This window comes from Homo sapiens, chromosome 12 (assembly GCF_000001405.40).
Source record: "Homo sapiens chromosome 12, GRCh38.p14 Primary Assembly".
NCBI lineage: Eukaryota > Metazoa > Chordata > Mammalia > Primates > Hominidae > Homo > Homo sapiens.
In genome coordinates, this window is record NC_000012.12 from 53,662,662 (window position 1) to 53,681,876 (window position 19,215).

The following is a 19,215-nucleotide window of genomic DNA, read 5'->3' on the forward strand; positions in this document are numbered from 1 at the left end:
AGCTGGGACTACAGGCGTGCGCCACCATGCCTGGTTAATTTTTGCATTTTCAGTAGAGATGGGGTTTCACCATGTTGGCCAGGATGTCTCCATCTCCTGACCTCATGATCCGCCCGCCTCAGCCTCCCAAAGTGCTGAGATTACAGGCATGAGCCACCACGTCCAGCCAAAAATAAATTTTAAGGATGCCTGGGGACAAAAAGATCTTCCTGTGTTTTACTTTTTCCTCATCAAATGGTGAGAACGCCACGATATCCAGGAATGTCTCCTAAGAATACATGTTGGAAAATGCATGCTATTTTGAGATACGGCCCAATAAAGACAAAGTTTTGGCTGGGCACAGTGGCTCACGCCTGTAATCCCAGCACCTTGGGAGGCTGAGGCGGGCAGATCACCTGAGGCCAGGAGTTCAAGACTAGCCAGGCCAACATGGTGAAACCCTCTCTCTAAACATACAAAAAATTAGCTGAGCGTGGTGGCACGTGCCTGTAATCCCAGCTACTCGGGAGGCTGAGGCAGGAGGATCACTTCAACCCAGGAGGTGCAGGTTGCAGTGAGCCAAGATTGTGCCACTCCACTCCAGCCTGGGTAACAGAATGTAACTCTGTCTCAAAACAACAAAAACAACAAAAAAAGACAAAGTTTCACTGCTTAGAACTTGAGGGACCAGGACAGCATTCTCTACTCACTACTGCGATACTACTACCCTTTTTTTTTCTATTCCTGAATTATACATGAATATTCCTTCATCTCATCTGTGTGGAGACACAGAGCTGCCCCAGGTTCCTGGACACCAACTCAAGCCAAATTACCATTGTTCCTGGTCAGCTTTCTCATCCTGATGCCCTTGGAAGGCCTCAAACTATTAAATCCATCTTGAAAGGGAGGCTGGAGCATGGTTCCTCATTACCGTTGTTCAGCATTGAGGTGATTTTCAAAGGGCACCATTTGCTTCTAATTTTAGGATGGCACAAACCTACTGACGCTCCTCCTGTGGTGCTGAAGAAACACAACTGACTCTTGTAAGAAACTGAGAAGAGGGAAGCAGGTCTTGCTGCCTTCAGCATCCTTGGGTTTTCTCTCTAGATGCCTTCTGGCCACTTTTTTTTTGAGATGGAGTTTCTCTCTTGTTGCCCAGGCTGGAGTCCAGTGGCACAATCTCAGCTCACCACAACCTCCACCTCCCGGGTTCAAGCAATTCTCCTGCTTCAGCCTCCCAAGTAGCTGGGATTACAGGCACGTGCCACCACACCTGGCTACTTTTGTATTTTTAGCAGAGATGGGGTTTCTCCATGTTGGTCAGGCTGGTCTCGAACCCCCGACCTCAGGTGATCTGCCTGCCTCAGGCTCCCAAAATGCTGGGATTACAGGTTGAGTCACCGCCCCTGGCCCAGACTTTTAAAAATTTTGATTCCAGGCCAGGCATGGTAGCTCACGCCTGCAATCCCAGCACTTTGGGAGGCTGAGGCGGGTGCATCACTTGAGGCTGGGTTCGAGACCGGCCTGGCCAACATGGCAAAACCTCGTCTTTACTAAAAATACAAAAAGTAACTAGCTGGGCATGGTGGTGCTCGCCTGTAATCCCAGCTACTTAGGAGGCTACAGCAGGAGAATCGCTTGAACCTGGGAGGCAGAGGTTGCGGTGATCTGAGATTGCACCACAGCAGAGTGAGCCTATCTCAAAAATAAATAAATAAATAAATAAATAAATAAATAAATAATCCAATGAAGGATTTGGAAAAAAATTTTTGAGACAGTCTTGCTCTGTTGCCCAGGCTGGAGTGCAGTGGTGCGATCTCTTTTGGCTCTTTAATGCTCTTTTGGCTGAGGGTGGATGGGAACCAGAAAATAGCTTCATGGAGGTTAAATTTAAGTCTTCAGGGATAACAGAGTTCGAAAAAGAGGAAAGTGAGCAAAGATGCAGGGAAAGAAAGCAGAAATGAGCAGAGAAAGGAAAAGGCAGGAAGATATGGTAAAGACAGGAAAACATCTGAAAAATGACAGTCACTTTATGTAGTGTATAGGACTAAACAGATAAAGCAGAGAAAGTTGAGGTGACTTTTTGAACCATTAACTGATAAAACCAGTCTTATGCTTAAGGAGGATTCACCTGGCAGTGGTAAGGAGAAGTAAATGCTGGAGGGAAGAGACTGGAGGCAGAAGGCCAGTTAAGAGGTTCTTGCAATAGACGAGGTGGATGACAATAAGGGCCTGAGCCAGGAGAGTGACAGTGGAAACAGAAAGCCTATTAGCCAACATTTTAAGCCAGAACTTGAAGTTGCTACTGACCCCAATCTTCCCAGGCAAGTAGCAGGCCATGCCAGGTGAAAATAATTTAAAATGTTATGCTATTTCAAATAAAGCTTTCCTGAAACAGAATTAAGAAAAAGTGAGCTCAGCCAAATCCATGTTGAGTTTAGCACCATCACTACCCTTCGGGCCTTGTACTCTCACGAAGGCACTCAGCCAACTGTGGAAAAGAAATATACACAGGAGACTCAAGAAACATCTTATTAATACAGTATTTATTTGTCTTTTCTCTGTCAAACCCTGAGCCAACCACGTTCCCCAGGCTGCCTGGGGAGGTATAGGAAAAGGAACACACGGGGCCAACCAGACGCGGGAGAACTATGGGAGGTGGAGACGGCTCCTTCACATGGCAAAGAGGATGAGAAAGGCTACCATCAGACAAAAGAGCCCCATGGCCTCCGAGAGGGCAAAGCCCAGAATGGCGTAGGAGAAGAGCTGTTGCTTCAGAGAAGGGTTCCTGGTAGAAGGAGAAGAGAAAAGACTGAATTTCTAGTTCACACAAAGAAAAGGATAAATATCTAAGATGGGCTCAGGGAGAATCCCCCTCTTCAAGATTATCTCACATAATAAAGAAGCTTTTAGGGTAACACCATCATGCCCAAATTCTTGCCCTGATTCCCCAAAGGCTCTACAGGAACTGAATGAAGGGGGAGCAGGCAATCTAAAATCCTGTAACATGGCCCAGGTATAATCATGACCTTCACTAATGGTTCACCCATCTCATTACCACAAATTAAGACCTCTTGGCCCAGACACTTAATATCCAGGGCCCAAATAGGATGGAAGGGTCTATCTAGAGCAGTGTTTTCAAACTTTAAGCAGAACTCCAATATAGTAAACATCTAAAAGCCAAACTGCAATGGTACAAAAGTAGTGGGGAAATTTTAACGGCTTGGTCTCCCCTTTATTCTCTAAGACAGTCTCTGGGGCATAACCTCAGAATCCTAAGGATTTATGGAACACCGCTCTTCTAGAAGACAAGAGTAAGAGGGACAGATTATGTTCTCTCATTTCAAATAGTCAGAAGATCTGGGGCTTTAAGAAACTACAAATGGGCTGGGTGCGGTGGCTCACACCTGTAATCCCAGCACTTTGGGAGGCCAAAGCAGGCGGATCACTTGAAGCCAGAAGTTGGAGACCAGCCTGGCCAACATGGTGAAACCCCGTCTCTACTAAAAATACAAAAATTAGGCCAGGCGCGGTGGCTCACGCCTGTAATCCCAGCACTTTGGGAGGCCGAGATGAGTAGATTGCTTGAGGTCAGGAGTTCGAGACCAGCCTGGCCAACCTGGTGAAACCCTGTCTCTACCAAAAATACAAAAATTGCTGGGCGCAGTGGCTCATGTCTGTAATCCCAGCACTTTGGGAGGCCGAAGTGGGCAGATCACGAGGTCAGGAAATCGAGACCATCCTAGCTAATACGGTGACACCCTGTCTCTACTAAAAATACAAAAAATTAGCCAGGCGTGTTGGCAGGCGCTTGTAGTCCCAGCTACTCAGGAGGCTGAGGCAGGAGAACGGCGTGAACCCGGGAGGCAGAGGATGCAGTGATCCAAGACCGCAGCCACTGTACTCCAGCCTGGGCGACAGAGCAAGACTCTGTCTCAAAAAAAAAAAAGAAAGAAAAAAAATACAAAAATTAGCTGGGGGTAGCGGTGCGTACCTGTAATCCCAGCTACTTGGGAGGCTGAGGCAAGAGAATTGCTTGAACCCGAGAGGCAGAGGTTGCAGTGAGCTGAGATTACACAGTTGCACTCCAGCCTGGGTGACAGAGTCAGACTCTGTCTCAAAAAAATAAAATAAAATAAAATAAAAAAATAAAAAATTAGCCGGGCGTGGTGGTGGGCACCTGTAATCCCAGCTACTTGGGAGGCTGAGGCAGGAGAATCATTTGAACCCGGGAGGCAGAGATTGCAGTGGGCTGAGATTGTGCCACTGCACTTCAGTCTGGGAGACAGCGAGACTCAGTCTCAAAAAAAAAAAAAAAAAAGAAGTTACAAATGGTCTATGGGGTTTATGAGTTGAAGTAGTATGGATAAAGGACTCCCAGTGTTGAAGGCCCATATATAATCTGTATTTCCCTTACTCTGATACCTCCAGAAGTCTTGATGGGTAAGGTAAATCGACACCAACATTTAACAGAATAGTGAATAAAGCAGCAGTCAGACTTCTTGTTTAATACAAATTCTTAAAAAGAACTCTATTTCTCAAAAGACATTAAGAGAACTTCCTGGTCTCTAGAGGATTAATTTGGTTTTAACTGAGTTATCCAGAGCTGGGAGTACTAAACAGTCCCAGGTGTCAGAAACCAGGGGCTGGCTGCAGTGCCAGTTTTCCCAGGAGTGACAGAGGGAAATTCCCAGAGATGGGAAAAAATAGCAGTAAAGCCACTATGTTCACTGAGTCTCTAGAACAGGGAAGGTAAACTTTTTCTGTAAAGGGCCACATTGTAAATAATTTTAGGTTTTGTGGGCCGCATATAGTCTCTTTTGCTTTAAAACAAAAATGAAGCCTTTTAAAAATGCGAAACTATTTTTTTTTTTGAGATGGAGTTTCACTCTTTTGCCCAGGCTGGAGTGCAGTGGCGTGATCTCTACTCACTGCAACCTCCGCCTTCAGGGTTCAAGTGATTTTCCTGCCTCAGCCTCCTGAGTAGCTGGGATTACAGGCATCTGCCACCATGCCTGGCTAATTTCTGTATTTTTAGTAGAGAAGGGGTTTCACCATGTTGGCCAGGCTAGTCTCGAACTCCTGACCTCGTGATCCGCCCGCCTCGGCCTCCCAAAGTGCTGGGATTATAGGCGTAAGGCACCACACCCGGCCATAAAATTATTTTTAGCTCAATCATACAAAACCTGGCTATGGCCCAGATTTGGCCCTTAGGCCTTAGTTTGCCAACACATGCTCTAGACCAAAGCTGTTCATGAAACTTTCTTCAATGACACAATGATATAAACATTCTAATACATACATACATACACACACATATATATATATATATATATATATATATATATATATATAAATTTTTTTTTTTTTGATGGTCTCACTCTGTTGCCCAGACTGGAATGCAGTGGCACCATCTTGGCTCACTGTAACCTCTGTCTCCCGGGTTCAAGCAATTCTCCTGTCTCATCCTCCCGAGTAGCTGGGACTACAGGCGCCCACCACAACGCCTGGCTAATTTTTGTATTTTTAGCAGAGACAGGGTTTCACCATATTGACCAGGCTGGTCTCAAACTCCTGACGTCAGGTGATCCACTCGCCTTGACCTCCCAAAGTGCAGGATTACAGGCATGAACCACCTCGCCCAGCCTATATTTGTTTTTTTCTTTTTTTTTTTTCCCCAAAGTCTCACTCTGTCACCTAGGCTGGAGTACAGTGGCATGATCTCGGCTCACAGCTCACTGCAACCTCCACCTCCCGGGTTCAAGCGATTCTTCTGCCTCAGCCTCCTGAATAGCTGGGATTATAGGTGCACGCCCCCCTTACCCAGGTAATTTTTGTATTTTTAGTAGAGATGGGGTTTCGCCATGTTGGCCAGGCTGGTCTCGAACTCCTGACCTCAAGCGATTCACCTGCCCTGGCCTCCCAAAGTGCTGGGATTAGTGAGCCACTGTGCCCAGCCAAACATTCTATATTTGCATTGTTGAATATGGTAGCCTCTAGCCACATCTGGCTACTGAGCACTCGAAATATGGTTAGCGTGACTGAAGAACTGAAAACTGAAACTATGTATTTTTAATTAATTAAAACTAAAATTCAGGTCAAGCGCGGGGGCTCATGCCTGTAATCCTGGCAGTTAGGGAGGCCGAGGCAGGTGGATCACTTGAGGTCAGGAGTTTGAGACCAGCCTGGCCAACATGGCGAAACCCCATCTCTACTAAAACCACAAAAATTAGGTGGGCGTCATTGTGTGTGCCTGTAATCCCAGCTACTTGGGAGGCTGAGGCACAAGAATCGCTTGAACCCAGAGGTAGAGGTGACAGTGAGCTGAGATTGCGCCACTGCACTCCAGCCTGGGAAACAGAGCGTTACTGTCTCAAAACAAACAAACAAACAAACAACATGTAGCTAGTGGCTACAGTGTGGGATAGTATAGTTCTAGACCCCCAAATATTTTCTGACCTTTGGAAAGCATATCAGATAACCAGTGGAGGGTCCAACTTATCTTACCTGGCATAACCAATGATGAGGCTCCCAAACACAGTTCCAATCCCAGCCCCAGAACCAGCCACCCCAACTGTGGCAGCCCCAGCTCCAATGAACTTGGCTGCTGTGTCGATGTCCCTTGAAATGGCGCTGGTTTGGAAGCTGCGGCTAGAGACAAGTGAGGTAAGGGGACATGAGACTGCCAAGCTGCTGAGGCTCTGTGAAAAAGAGGCAGGTAGAAGGTAAAGTTTTTTGCTTTGGTAACTTTTGTACCATTTAAAACCCTTTAAGCTGCCAAATCCCATTGTTTCTCCCCCAAACAGAAAATTGTTTAACGCCCTAAAATGCTGGCAAGTAGAACCTTTTAACGTAGGATGTAGACTTCAAATGCCTTTAAGATTCAGGTGTGGTCAAGAAGTGTAAGACTGAGGCCCTAGTCTATTCTTGCTGCCCCAAGGAGATCATCTTCCTAGGACTAAATGCTTCCAACTGAAGTCAGTAGACTAGGCCAAGTAATACCAGTTAGCAGCAGTGCACAGGGGCATGTGCTGCCAGTGGCAAAAGCTGGAGCACTATAGCATACAGTGTATTAAGTGTCCTCCATCTCCACCTAAAGCCCATGGCCTTGGCCATTCATGAATTTTAGCCTGTGATGACTGTCCTCAGCATTCTACCTCCTGGTTCTGGCAGGTAACCCTCCCCACCCATCACCCCCAAAACCACAGTCCCAACTCCACTGTAAGGTACCTCATCTGTCAGTATCTCCGGTCGTTTCAGCACCACTGCAGATAGCGGACGGCTCAGCAGCTGTGAGGTGCTCTTGACCTAGCAGGAATGACATACAGGGGCAGGAAGGTCAAGGAAGACTGGAGAGGAGTTTCAGAACTATGCCACGTTGTTACATCATCAGACAAGATTTTCTTTCCTCTCATGGCCTTTCCATCTTCACATGTACGTTAGAGTTTTGGATCATTCTTCCTTTTAGCAAAGTCTAAATTAAAGAACCACACCATTTCTCTTGCTTCTCAGACTTTGCTTTAAGGAAAGAAAGTCTACTTCCTTTGGGCCATAAGGGAGCATCCAACCTTGCTATATCCTTTTATAGCTCTTGAGAACAAGAAGAAATCTAAGCCTCAGAAGCATTTGCCTCACTCAACAAGGGAAATATATACAGATGCTCCTCAACTTACCATAGGGTTATGTGCCAATAAATCCATCATACTTTGAAAAACCATTTAATACTGCTAACCTACCAAACACCATAGTCTGGCCTTCAATGTGCTCAAAAAGCTTACACTAGCTTACATTAGCTTACAGTTAGGTGAAATCACCTAGCAACACAGTACACCGTAGAGTACTGGTTGTTTACCCCTGTGATTGGGCAGGTGACTGGGAGCTGTGGGTTCCTGCTGAGTATTGCAACAGAGTATTGTACCACACATTGCTAGCTTGGGAAAAGATAAAGATTCCTAATTCGAAGTATGGTTTCTTTCTTTCTTTCTTTTTTTTTTTTGAGACGGAGTCTTGCTGTATCGCCAGGCTGGAATGCAGTGTCGTGATCTCGGCTCGGCTCACTACAACCTCCACCTCCCAGGTTCAAGCAATTCTCCTGCCTCAGCCTCCCAAGTAGCTGGGACTACAGGCGCCGGCAACCACGCCCAGCTAATTTTTGTATTTTTAGTAGAGACAGGTTTTCACCATATTGGCCAGGCTGGTTTTGAATTCCTGACCTCAGGTGATCCACCCACCTCGGCTTCCCAAGGTGCTGGGATTACAGGCATGAGCCACCACGCCCAGCCCGAAGTATGGTTTCTAATGAATGCATATCATTTTTGCATCATCATAAAGTTAAAAAAAAAAAATCTTAATCTAAAGTTGGGGGCCTTCTGTATGGGTAATGGTCAGCCCACAAGAAAGAAGCCAGTAACTTTCCCTGAACACATCCTTTTGGAAAATAGGAACAAAGATTCATGCTCAAAACTCACCTCCTTCTGGTAGCCTTTTCTGACTAACCCCAAGCCAGTGACACCAAAACAGACACATGGTGATTCATAGCCAGGGCTTTAGGCATCAGATAAAGTGAGATTCAAATCTTAATTCTATTATCAGCAGTGTATTCTCAGGATAAGTCACTTAAACCTTTCTAAGCCTGTATTCTCATTTATGAAATCAAAATATCATCTCTTGGGGTTGATTTGAAGAGTAAATGAGATTATGTATACCAATTAGTAAACTCAGTGAGTGCTAAGGCACATGGTAAATGCTCAATAAATGGTACTCCTTTTTATTTGTGAATGAACCAACCGCCTCCTCTAGCTACTATTTCAAAAATTTCTTCCATACTGTTGTTTCTGAGTCAAATACTTTTCCAATGTGTATTTATGTAAATTTTAGCTTCCTATCCAAATTTAAGTCCCAGAATGAACTCCTTAGCTATGGCTAACTCAGGACAAGATCCTACACACAGTGCATACTCAGTCCAAGTTATGTAATCTACTTATATTTACCACTCTGGATGGCCAGCTTACACGACATATAGTTTCAGGAGTAGGAATAACTTGATCTTGGTCTAGATTCTCATCTCTATTCTTCTCCTAAGATGGCTGGGTAAGAATTAACTGGGCACAGCCAGGCACGGTGGCTCATGCCTATAATATCAGCAATTTAGGAGGCCGAGGACGGCGGATCACCTGAGGTCAGGAGTTCAAGACCAGCCTGACCAACATGGAGAAACCCTGTCTCTACTCGGATCACGAGGTCAGGAGTTTGAGACCAGCCCGGCCAACATGGTGTAACCCCATCTCTACTAAAAATACAAAAATTAGCTGGGTATGGTGGCAGGTGCCTGTAACCCCAGCTACTTGGGAGTCTGAGGCAGGTGAACTGCTTGAACCCGGGAGGCGGAGGTTGTGGTGGATCGCGCCATTGCAGCCTGGGCAACAAGAGCGAAACTCTGTCTCAAAAAAAAAAAAAAAAAAAAAATTAACTGGCCGCCAAGGGATATGGGGCAGGAGAGTATCTAGCAAGCATTCACTCTATCCTGTTACGCAATCATAGCAGAGGGCCTTCCCTCCCCAAGAATCTTTCTTACTTATTTACTTATTTATTTATTTTTTGAGACAGAGTCTTGCTCTGACGCCCAGGCTGGAGTGCAGTGGTGCGATCTTGGCTCACTGCAACCTCTACCTCCTGGGTTCAAGCTATTCTGTTGCCTCAGCCTCCTGAGTAGCTGGGATTACAGGCGCCCGCCACCATGCCCAACTGGTTTTCGTTTTTTTAGTAGAGATGGGGTTTCGCCATGTTGGCCAGGCTGGTTTTGAACTCCTGGCCTCAAGTGATCTGCCCGCCTGGACCTCCTCTCCCCCAGCCTTGCTGTGAAGAACAAGGTCTGATGGAAAGAGAGAGACAAGATGTCTCTCCTTTAAAACTCTCCCAGAAAAGCAGGTACTCACCAAGGAGGGAGTGGAGACAAACTTGGAGCAGGCGAACATTTTCAGGGGGTGAGGAGCTGTGGCAGGAGAGCTGGAATTACAGAAGCAGTATTGTAAACGCTCCTTATTCACTAAACTATATCCTTATTAGCAGAAAAGGGGCCCTAGAAAGCTTAACTGGCCCAGAAAACAGTGACTGACCTTAAGTCATTGGCAGAAATAGAATTAAAACCCTGAAGTCATGACTTCTTCCAGAAACCCCACACAGCTCCCAAGATTTCCTTATAATGAAGTGACTTCCCCTGGTCTGAACAAGTGAACACTTGGGTTCAGGTAAGACCTGTTACCCATTTCCATAGCCTCATGATTTGCAGTTGCCACAGGAATTTTCCCAGAGTGTCTTTTGCCTAAGTTTTCCTTAGTTTTTATTCAAAAGGAACGCTTCTCAAGACTTCATCATCTGGACCTTTAAAAGTTGCCGTTTAGGCTGGGCACGTGGTTCACACCTGTAATCCCAGCACTTTGGGAGGCCGAGGCGGGCGGATCACGAGGTCAGGAGTTCGAGACCAGCCTGACCAACATGGTGAAACCCCACCTCTACTAAAAATACAAAAATTAGCCAGGTGTGGTAGCACGCGCCTGTAATCCCAGCTACTCAGGAGGCTGAGGCAGGAGAATTGCTTGAACCCAGGAGGCGGAGGTTGCAGTGAGACGAGACCACGCCACTGCACTCCAGCCTGGGTGACAGAGCGAGACCCCATCTCAAAACAAACAAACAAACAAACAAACAAACAAAAAGTTGCCCTTTAGAGTCTTTGTAGTTTTGGGAGATATTTGTTGAAGGCCAAGACACTGGAAGGTCTCCAACAATCTCTTTGCTGATCCCTGGAAGTATCTGATTCCTGAAAATACTTCAATTTCCTGTATTAATAAGATGAGGAAGATCAAGGAGGAACTCTGTTATTAGTCTATCCAAAAGGTATTAGTGGCTGGGCGCAGTGGCTCACGCCTGTAATCCTAGCACTTTAGGAGGCTGAGGCGGGTAGATCACGAGGTCAGGAGTTCGAGACCAGGCTGACCAACATGGAGAAACCCCGTCTCTACTGAAAATACAAAATTAGTCGGGCATGGTGGTGCATGCCTGTAATCCCAGCTACTCAGGAGGCTGAGGCAGGAGAATTGCTTGAATCCAGGAGGCAGAGGCTACGGTGAGCCAAGATTGCGCCATTGTACTCCAGCCTGGGCAACAAGAGGGAAACTGTCTCAAAAAAAAAAAAAAAAGTATTAAATTGTGTCTCCCCAAGATCTAAAGAAGATCTGACACCCTATAGGTATCTAAGTTGGTAGAAGTGAACTTACCTCAAACAGAAGGTGAGTTAAAAACCTAAAGGCAGGGTTTCTCCAAGTGAAGTGAGAAGCCCATCTGAACTAGAATTATCTGGGTGGTGTACGTATTAAAAAATGCATATTCTTGGGCGCAACTTGGACCTTCCTGGTCAAGATCTCTGGGGGAGCTAGGTTCAGTGGCTCATTCCTGTAATCCCAACACTGAGAAGCTGGGGCGGAAAGATAACTTGAAGCCAGGAGTTTGAGACCAGCCTGGGCAAACATCAAGACCTCATCTCTACAAAACATAAAATTAGCCAGGTGAGGTGGAAGTGCACCTGTAGTCCCAGCTACTCCAGAAGCTGAGGCAGGAGGACTGCTTGAACCCAGGAGCTGGAGGCTTCAGTGAGCTATGATCACGCCAGTTGTCCAGTATGGGCAACAACGTGAAACCCTGTCTATAAACAAACAAAAAAGATCTCTGGGAATAAGGCTCAAGTGCCCTGTATTTCAAACAAGTTTCCCAGATGATTATTAGGTATACTTAACGCAAGAGCGTGACCCTAAACCCAGTCTTGAAACTGTGGTAGTGGTAGAGGATAGACTTGAACTTGGATCTTTTAAGTTACATGCTTTCTAATATGTCACAGGCTGAAATACTCAGTGAATGCTTAGGGCTATTAAATACCACTTCATTAAATGAACTGAACTCAGATTGTCCCAGGTTAAAACACTTCTGAATCCAACATCTTAATTGCTCTTAATTTATTTTTTGCCCAGGCTATTGTGGAACTCCTGGCATCAAAAGATCTTCCCACCTTGGCCTCCCAGTGTTGGGATTACAGGTGTGAGCCACCACACCCAGCCTTAATTACTTTTAAGTTAATGGATGTCTTCAACTCTTGTCCTATCTAGAACTCTGATTTTTGCCTATATGTAACTCTAACCCAATTTTGCTGCCGTACTATTCAGGTTTTCTTGGGTCAAAATCCAATAGTTCTTTAAGGCTTTTAGAAAAAGAAGGGGTGGTTCTTTTCTAAGGGAATTATACCTTATTATCTTCTTTGTAAAATGCAGCTCTTAGGGGGATTAAGTATGTTCATTTACAAATTAACATACATAAAGAGTTTAATGTGGTGCTGGCATATAATAAACCCACAACAAGGGGTGGCAATTAAGTGATCCCACCATTGGCTATCTAACCATGGCAACTCTGCAATTGTTAGCCTACAACTTGGGCAAAGGCACTATCCAGAATCAGGACTCCAAAATCATCACGGGCTTTTTCCTCAGTGTAGATGAGTCACAGGGGTAGTAACTTAACTATTCCTTTCCTTAAACCTTCTTTTCCTTGTAACAGCAGAATCTGGGGAGGTTAATTAATCCTTCACAGGAAAGCTGGCAGGCAGGGTCTCATGCTGGCCCCACTAGCTTGGCCTTACCCCACCTTTCTGGGCCTGCTGCCTCAACAGAAACCCTCATCTCTAGCCCACCATTTGTGACTTTTACAACTTCACCAGCGTGCCGGGATGCGAGAAAGGTACTGGTAAATAACTAGTGATTCCAAAGCAACCAGCCTCTCTCTTCTGCCTTAGCTATCCCAAGCCACAACCTAACGGGAGGCGATGTTTTGGCTTTTTTTCCCACTTCTACCATGTTCAAGGTTTACTTTTTAAATTGAGGGGTGCTGACTAGAGGGATTGGTGACTTTAGACGATCCACTATCTCCATTGCTCGGAGCACCTGAGGTTCTGGGGCCTAAAGTCTGGAGATTTCAGAATAAAGAAGGCACAAGTCAGGATGAGAAGAGAAAGCAGAGATAGGAGGGGAGAGCCTGGGGGTTGTCACAATCTGAAAGGGCCAGAGGGCGAGAAAAGAGTGTTTGCAGGGACTGGGTGGAACAGGTGAAAAGCAGCACTCCAGGATCTAACTTTGGCCAGCTCCAAGGTATCCTCCCCCTGCGAGACATCCAAGATGGCGCCAGGCCCGCGCGGTTGGAGGTCACCGGCACGCGGAAGAGCCAACTCTAAGGCTAAGGGATAGCGGAAGCAAGAAAGGGCGAGAGGACCAGGGTGGGAGCACGCAAGGTAAGCGCCTCAAAGCATCCGCGCAAGGTGAGGTGTCCCGCGCGCGTGCGCAGCGCACAGAGGGCTCTAGGTCCCAAGGCCTTACCTGCTCCCACTGCAGAGAAGACAGAGAGGGGCGGAGCAGCGGGAAGAGCGAAAGGAAGGCTCAGCGCATGCGTGACCCGGGCCAACGAGTCGCTCAGCCACGGATAGAGTGATTGCAACATACAGGATCAGCTCAGGCATCACAGCGCCGCCTGCCAGGGCTGTGGCGGTATCCGGCCGGTTGCTCCACCTGGCGTTCGAGAGGAGAAACTACAGGGAGCGCCGACTGCAGAAATGAGGCCAACTCCGCGGAGTAAGCCGATCCGTAACGTGGACTGCGGTTTGGTCTGTACCGCGTTTGGGATCTCGGACTTGCGTCCCCTTTCCGAGCATGCGCAGTCGTCACACTGCCAAAACAAAACTCCTACTCAGAATTCAGTGTTAACATACGGTCGGGATTGGGGTTCAGTGCCTAAAATGCAGCAGGAGGAAGATCTTGGGAGTCCTGCTTTCTGTCGCGCCGGGACTCTGGCATCACTGGATGGCAAACCGGCTCCATGGGCGAATAGTCAGCAAAATGCCGCAGCTGCTTCTGGTGGCTTCGCCCTTTCCCCCACTCCCCGTTTCCTCCTTTCCATTCCGGTGATAAACCATGAGAGAAGCAGCATCAGCGAGCCAGAAGATAGGGTTAAATATGATCCGAATCCCTCTTTCCTGGCTCCTGGGACAGTCTAGGAATAACGGGCACCTGCGACCCGCTGTAAGGTTGCGAGGTCACTCCAGGCTTGCCCGAGCCTCTGCTCAGGTTTCAACTACGCGAGTTGGGATAAGCAGCGCCCTCCCCTCCCGCCCCCATGCTCTCCTGAACGTGGGTTTTCTCTCCCCTTTCGCTCGCCCTTCCCCTGATGGAAGGAGGTGGGGGAGGCTTCCTGGCCCTCATCTTTCCTAGGCCTCCTTGTCTCCCAGACAGGACCTGCCCTGCCCTTTGGAACAGGGCGACAAGGCCTATCCAGTTCCAAACCCCTGCCGTCCCTGCATCGTGCTTGAACGCAGCACGAGAAAGACGGGAAAAGCTCACCAAACCCCATAAAAAATAAAAAATAAAAAGAAAGCCGCGGCTGTAAATAAAGGCAAATCCGCCACTCTCTGAGGGGCCGTTTGTCCTCCCCTCCTTGGCCCCGTCCTTCCCGCCGCCCCCTCCCGGCTCCCGGGCCCCGCGGCGCCCCGGCCCCGAGCTCCTCCATTTAATCGGATTTGGGAGAAGGGGAGGATAAATCACGGCAGCAGCTTTACGGTCCCGGAGGAGAGGCGAGCCGCAGACAGGCACACCCCGGCCGGCGATAAAAACCGCCGCTGAAAGCCCACGGAGCAATTTCCCGGGACCCCGAGCGACGCCATTACAGGAATGTAATTTTGCCCGGATGAGGCCCCGAGTTTAATTATCCTCGCGGAGGAATTTCAATGCGGCCAATCCATCTTGCAGGCGGGCGGCAGAGGGATTTATATGGGCCCGTTATTTCACACCGATCCTCCATCTGCATTTTTATGGCCCTGAGCTCCTGAAAGGGAGGGGAAGGAGTGGGGAGAAATAGGAGAAGCGGGCGAGAAGAGGAGGGTGGTAGACTGCCTGTCTTTCCTAAATTCGCATTTCCAGCTCCATCAGGATTCTCACAGGTTCCTCTGAAATCCCCAAATCTCCAGTTTTAGTTGTTGATTGCGCCCCGAGCGGGCAGGTACGTGGGAAATGGAACTGGGATCTTTGGGAATCAATCAACAGGTATTTATCAAGTACCAAGTGGTGCCAGGCACTGTGGAGATGCTGTTAGGAGAAAGACAGGCTAGCAAAGACACAAGTTTATCCCCTGAGGTCTCCAGACATCTCCATTCCCACCAAAACGGAATTCTTTTAAGCTGTCAGCTTCACATCCTCAGTGGCAGAGAAAGTCCACAGTTCTTAGGAGCCACCACCCCCAAACGGCTGTTGCAGCTGTTGCGACAATTTAGACACTCAGATATGGCTAACAATCCCAGAGGAGGATCAGAGAAGGGGCCTGGGAGGAAGCTAAAGCTGGCTCTTTCCAAAAGTTGTTACAGCCTGCGATGTTTAACACTCCCTTGCCCTCATAGAATAATGGGTTCTGCGTTCAGACAAATCTGGGTTCCCAAATTGCTGTGTGATCTTGAGCTAGCTGTTTAACCCCCTCTAAATCTATTTCCTCCTATGTAAATTGAGAAGAATAATAGTACTTATCACACAGCCAATATTGGGATAATACATATGAAGCTTTTAGCAAGGTACTTGGTACCCAGTAAGAGTTCAGTAATTGCTAGCATTAAAATCATCATCGTCACCACCACCACCACCACCACCACCATCACCACCATCATCACCATCATCATCACTGCTTCTATAGTTAAGGGCATTGCAACTCAATTCTGCACTGCTACCTATATGGACTGTTTATTGCAAGGTCCTTGAGATAGTATCTCCTGAAAGAGACTCAACTACACTTTAAAAACGTTTTCACCTGCATAAGTCATACAAAACAAGTTATTTTACTTGCTGGTGAGTGGAGATCTGAGGGGAGGCTGAGAATCCTGGGACTATTACTACGAGGCTTGAAGCAAGAAATCAAATCCGCAAGGGAGCAGTGAGGCTCCAAAAAGGAGGTTTGTAAGGGGAGGGGTGAATTTGAAGACAGCAAAAGATCCAAGAGAAGCTTAGCTGAGGGTCGGAGGATCTTCTTAACTATAGGCTTGGGGAAGGGTCCTTCTTTCACTTCACAAAGGGAAAACCGGGGTCCAGGAAGGAAAGGGTGTGGAGACAGAACTATCCTTTCCAATCAGTCCCTTTCTTTTCCTACCAGACCATATAACAAGGTTGGACTGATTGGCCAGTTTTTTTAATGACTGTGAGTGGCAGATTCTGACTGGTTGGCAGCCTCCCTGCCCAGTGGTGACGAAGAAATGAGATTGATCTTTCCTTTCTTAGGATTGGTTAACAACCCTCAGGGGGGCCACAGACTCATTTTAATTGACTGGATAGGCTAAGAGAGAGGTTCAGCTTCTCTCATATAGAAATTCCAAGTGTCCTTTTCTACAAAGGTCACCAAGGAAGGGTTTTGATTTGTTTATATATGTTTCTTTGGACAAGAAACCATAGCTTAGAGCAGAAAAATCAAGATACTCATGCAGGCATGCCACAATGAGAAAGAGCCACGAAAGAAACAGGAGTGATTTTAAAAACGAGAGAGAGAGAGAGAGAGAGAGAGAGAGAGAGAGAGAGAGACCAGGGCACAGAGAAATGCGAAGAAAAAATATTGCTAGAGAGAAGAGGAAGGGTTTAAATGGTTTGATTTCCATTCCTGATGGCTTAAGATGAGGATACTTTATGATGTGTTTTGCTAGATGCACATGTTGCCAGCAAGTGGCATGGATAGAACAGCTGTCTTCGAGGCAGGAGACTGGAGTCTAGTCCTAGCCCTGCTACTAAATAGTTGAATAACTATGCTAGTTACTTCATCTCTCGAAGCTTTAGTTTCCTCATTTGGAAAAATCAGGGAGAGAAGTAGGTGATCTCTAAGATTTCATCCAGTGTTAACTTTCCAGGATTTTCTTTCTTTCTGCTAAACAGGCACTTTTCTGCAAGTTAAAGTGGAAACTTTGCACTGCCAATACTTTATACATATTGAGCTTCTCTATTTATTAGTGATTGTTAATTTCAAGCTCCTGGGCTGTGATGGGCTGGTGGGAACTGACTGATATATTTTCTACTTTTCCTTGCTAAATCAATTCCCTAAGACATCAGGACTGTGAGACATCGGTAAACCTCCCTACTTCTAAAGAAAGAAAACAGTAGATGAAGGAAGGGAAAGGATCACTGGTATCCAGGCTTCTGAGGGAGGAATCAGTAGGAGAGATGGTGGCAGAGGGATGACCAAAAACATTTTTGCTGGGGAAGAACTTCACCTTCCTTTGAATTTGTTTATTTTTTAATTTATTTTATTTTTTGGAGACAGGGTCTTGTTCTGTTACCCAGGCTGGGGTGCGGTGACACGATCATGGCTCACTGCAGCCTCGACCTCCTGGGTTCAATTGATCCACCTGCCTCAGCCTCACAAGTAGCTGGAACTACAGGCATGCGCCACCATGCCCGGCTAATTTTTGTATTTCCTGTAAGGATAGGGTTTCACTATGTTGCCCAGGCTGGCCTTGAACTCCTGAGCTCAAGCGATCTGCCTACCTCAGCCTCCCAAAGTGTTGGGATTACAGGTGTGAGCCACCATGCCCAGCCACAACCAATATTTATTGAGCATCTGCTATGTGCAAAGTATTGTGCTACATATTGTGAATGGGTATAAAAAATGAGAAAGCATACTCCATTGTCTTCATAAATTTAAAATCAGTAAGAAAGACGTGTACACATATAACTATAATATGCAGCAGGATTTAATAGGCTATATGAGTAATAGGAGTTGTGGAAGCAGTATGACTTCAAGCTAGAATAGTCAAGGGGGCAACATAATTAAAGTAGGCTTTTTCCTTTTAAGAAAATTAGCTAGGCATGGTGGCTCATGCCTGCAATCCCAGCACTTTGGGAAGCTGAGGCAGGGAGATTGCATGAGCCCAGGAGTTTGAGACCAGCTTGGGCAACATAGCGAGACCCCATTGCTACAAAAAATAAAAACAAAATGTTTGAAAAAAAAATTATGAAATATTTGATTCATATAAAATAATACAAGTAATGTATATCCATTTATTCAACACATATATTTTGAGCATCTCCTATGTGCTAGGCACTGTTCTTGGTGTTGAGGACACAGGCGTGAACAAAGCAAAACAACTTTTCCAGAACTGACATTTTATATAAACTATGAAGCATAGTAATAAAATGGACACCCATTAAACCACGCCCTAATTATTTTTGTGGGGGAGGTGGAGTTTTGCTCTTGTCGCCCATGCTGGAGTGCAGTGGCATGATCTTGGCTCACTGCAACCTCCGCCTCCTGGGTTCAAGCAATTCTCCTGCCTCAGCCTCCCAAGTAGCTGGGACTACAGGTGTGCACCACCACACCTGGCTAATTTCGTATTTTTAGTAGATACGGAGTTTCACCATGTTGGTCAGGCTGGTCTCAAACTCCTGACCTTAGGTGATCCACCAGCCTTGGCCTTCCAAAGTGCTGGGATTACAGGCATGAGCCACTGTATGCAACAGCACGCCCTAATTTAAGAAAAGAAAAAGAAAAAAACAAGGCCAGGCATGGTGGCTCATGTCTGTAATCCCAGCACTTTGGGAGGCCAAGGCAGGAGGATCATTTGAGGTCAGGAGTTCAAAACCAGCCTGGCCAACGTGGTGAAACCCCATCTCTACTAAAAATACAAAAATTAGCTGGGCATGGTGGTGGGCACCTGTAATCCCAGCTACTCAGGAGGCTGAGGCAGGAGAATTGTTTGAGCCTGGGAAGCAGAGGTTGCAGTGAGCACAGACTGCGCCATTATACTCCAGCCTGGGTGACAGAGTGAGACTCCATCTCAAAAAAAGAAAAAAAAATTACCAATACTACTGAAGGGCCCCATGTGCTTCTCTTCTGTGCTAATCCCTGAATCTTATATTTACCATTTCCTAGTTTTTCTTTTTTTAACATATATTATTTATTATGTCCCTCCTCCTTTTTAAAAAACCATTCTAAGGGTGATATAGGCCGGGTGCGATGGCTCACGTCTGTAATCCCAGCACTTTGGGAGGCCGAGGTGGGGGGATCACGAGGTCAGAAGATGGAGACCATCCTGGCCAACATGGTGAAACCCCGTCTCTACTAAAAATACAAAAATTAGCTGGGTGTGGCAGTGTGTGCCTGTAATCCCAGCTACTCAGGAGGCTGAGG

At 46.6% G+C, this 19,215-nt stretch overlaps 1 protein-coding gene across 13 annotated transcripts, besides 2 other annotated features; it reads right to left on the reverse strand.

The window, feature by feature from the left end:
• Window positions 1-2,508: 2,508 nt before the first annotated feature.
• Window positions 2,509-18,762, reverse strand: ATP5MC2 (ATP synthase membrane subunit c locus 2). Of its 13 annotated transcripts, none has more exons than NM_001369754.1 (6): window positions 13,515-13,669; window positions 11,035-11,151; window positions 9,915-9,984; window positions 7,210-7,287; window positions 6,487-6,680; window positions 2,509-2,767 (listed from the first exon to the last, which is right to left on the reverse strand). In NM_001369754.1, exons 3-6 carry the CDS (start codon window positions 9,951-9,953, stop codon window positions 2,653-2,655), a joined length of 426 nt encoding a protein of 141 aa, NP_001356683.1. In that variant the 5' UTR covers window positions 9,954-9,984; window positions 11,035-11,151; window positions 13,515-13,669; the 3' UTR covers window positions 2,509-2,652. The 13 variants fall into 13 exon arrangements, 10 of the variants coding, with proteins under 10 accessions (NP_001356683.1, NP_001356686.1, NP_001356682.1 ...); NM_001369757.1 differs by lacking the exons at window positions 11,035-11,151; window positions 13,515-13,669 and adding exons at window positions 3,974-4,091; window positions 13,392-13,422; NM_001369753.1 differs by lacking the exon at window positions 13,515-13,669 and adding an exon at window positions 13,392-13,422 and having other exon boundaries at window positions 11,035-11,132.
• Window positions 13,124-13,573: an enhancer, noted in NCBI's record as "active region_6426". NCBI's record gives its function as "activates an Ori minimal core promoter by ATAC-STARR-seq in GM12878 lymphoblastoid cells {active_cell/tissue: GM12878}" and the evidence as "EXISTENCE:reporter gene assay evidence [ECO:0000049][PMID:35858748]".
• Window positions 13,684-13,913: an enhancer, noted in NCBI's record as "active region_6427". NCBI's record gives its function as "activates an Ori minimal core promoter by ATAC-STARR-seq in GM12878 lymphoblastoid cells {active_cell/tissue: GM12878}" and the evidence as "EXISTENCE:reporter gene assay evidence [ECO:0000049][PMID:35858748]".
• Window positions 18,763-19,215: the final 453 nt, after the last annotated feature.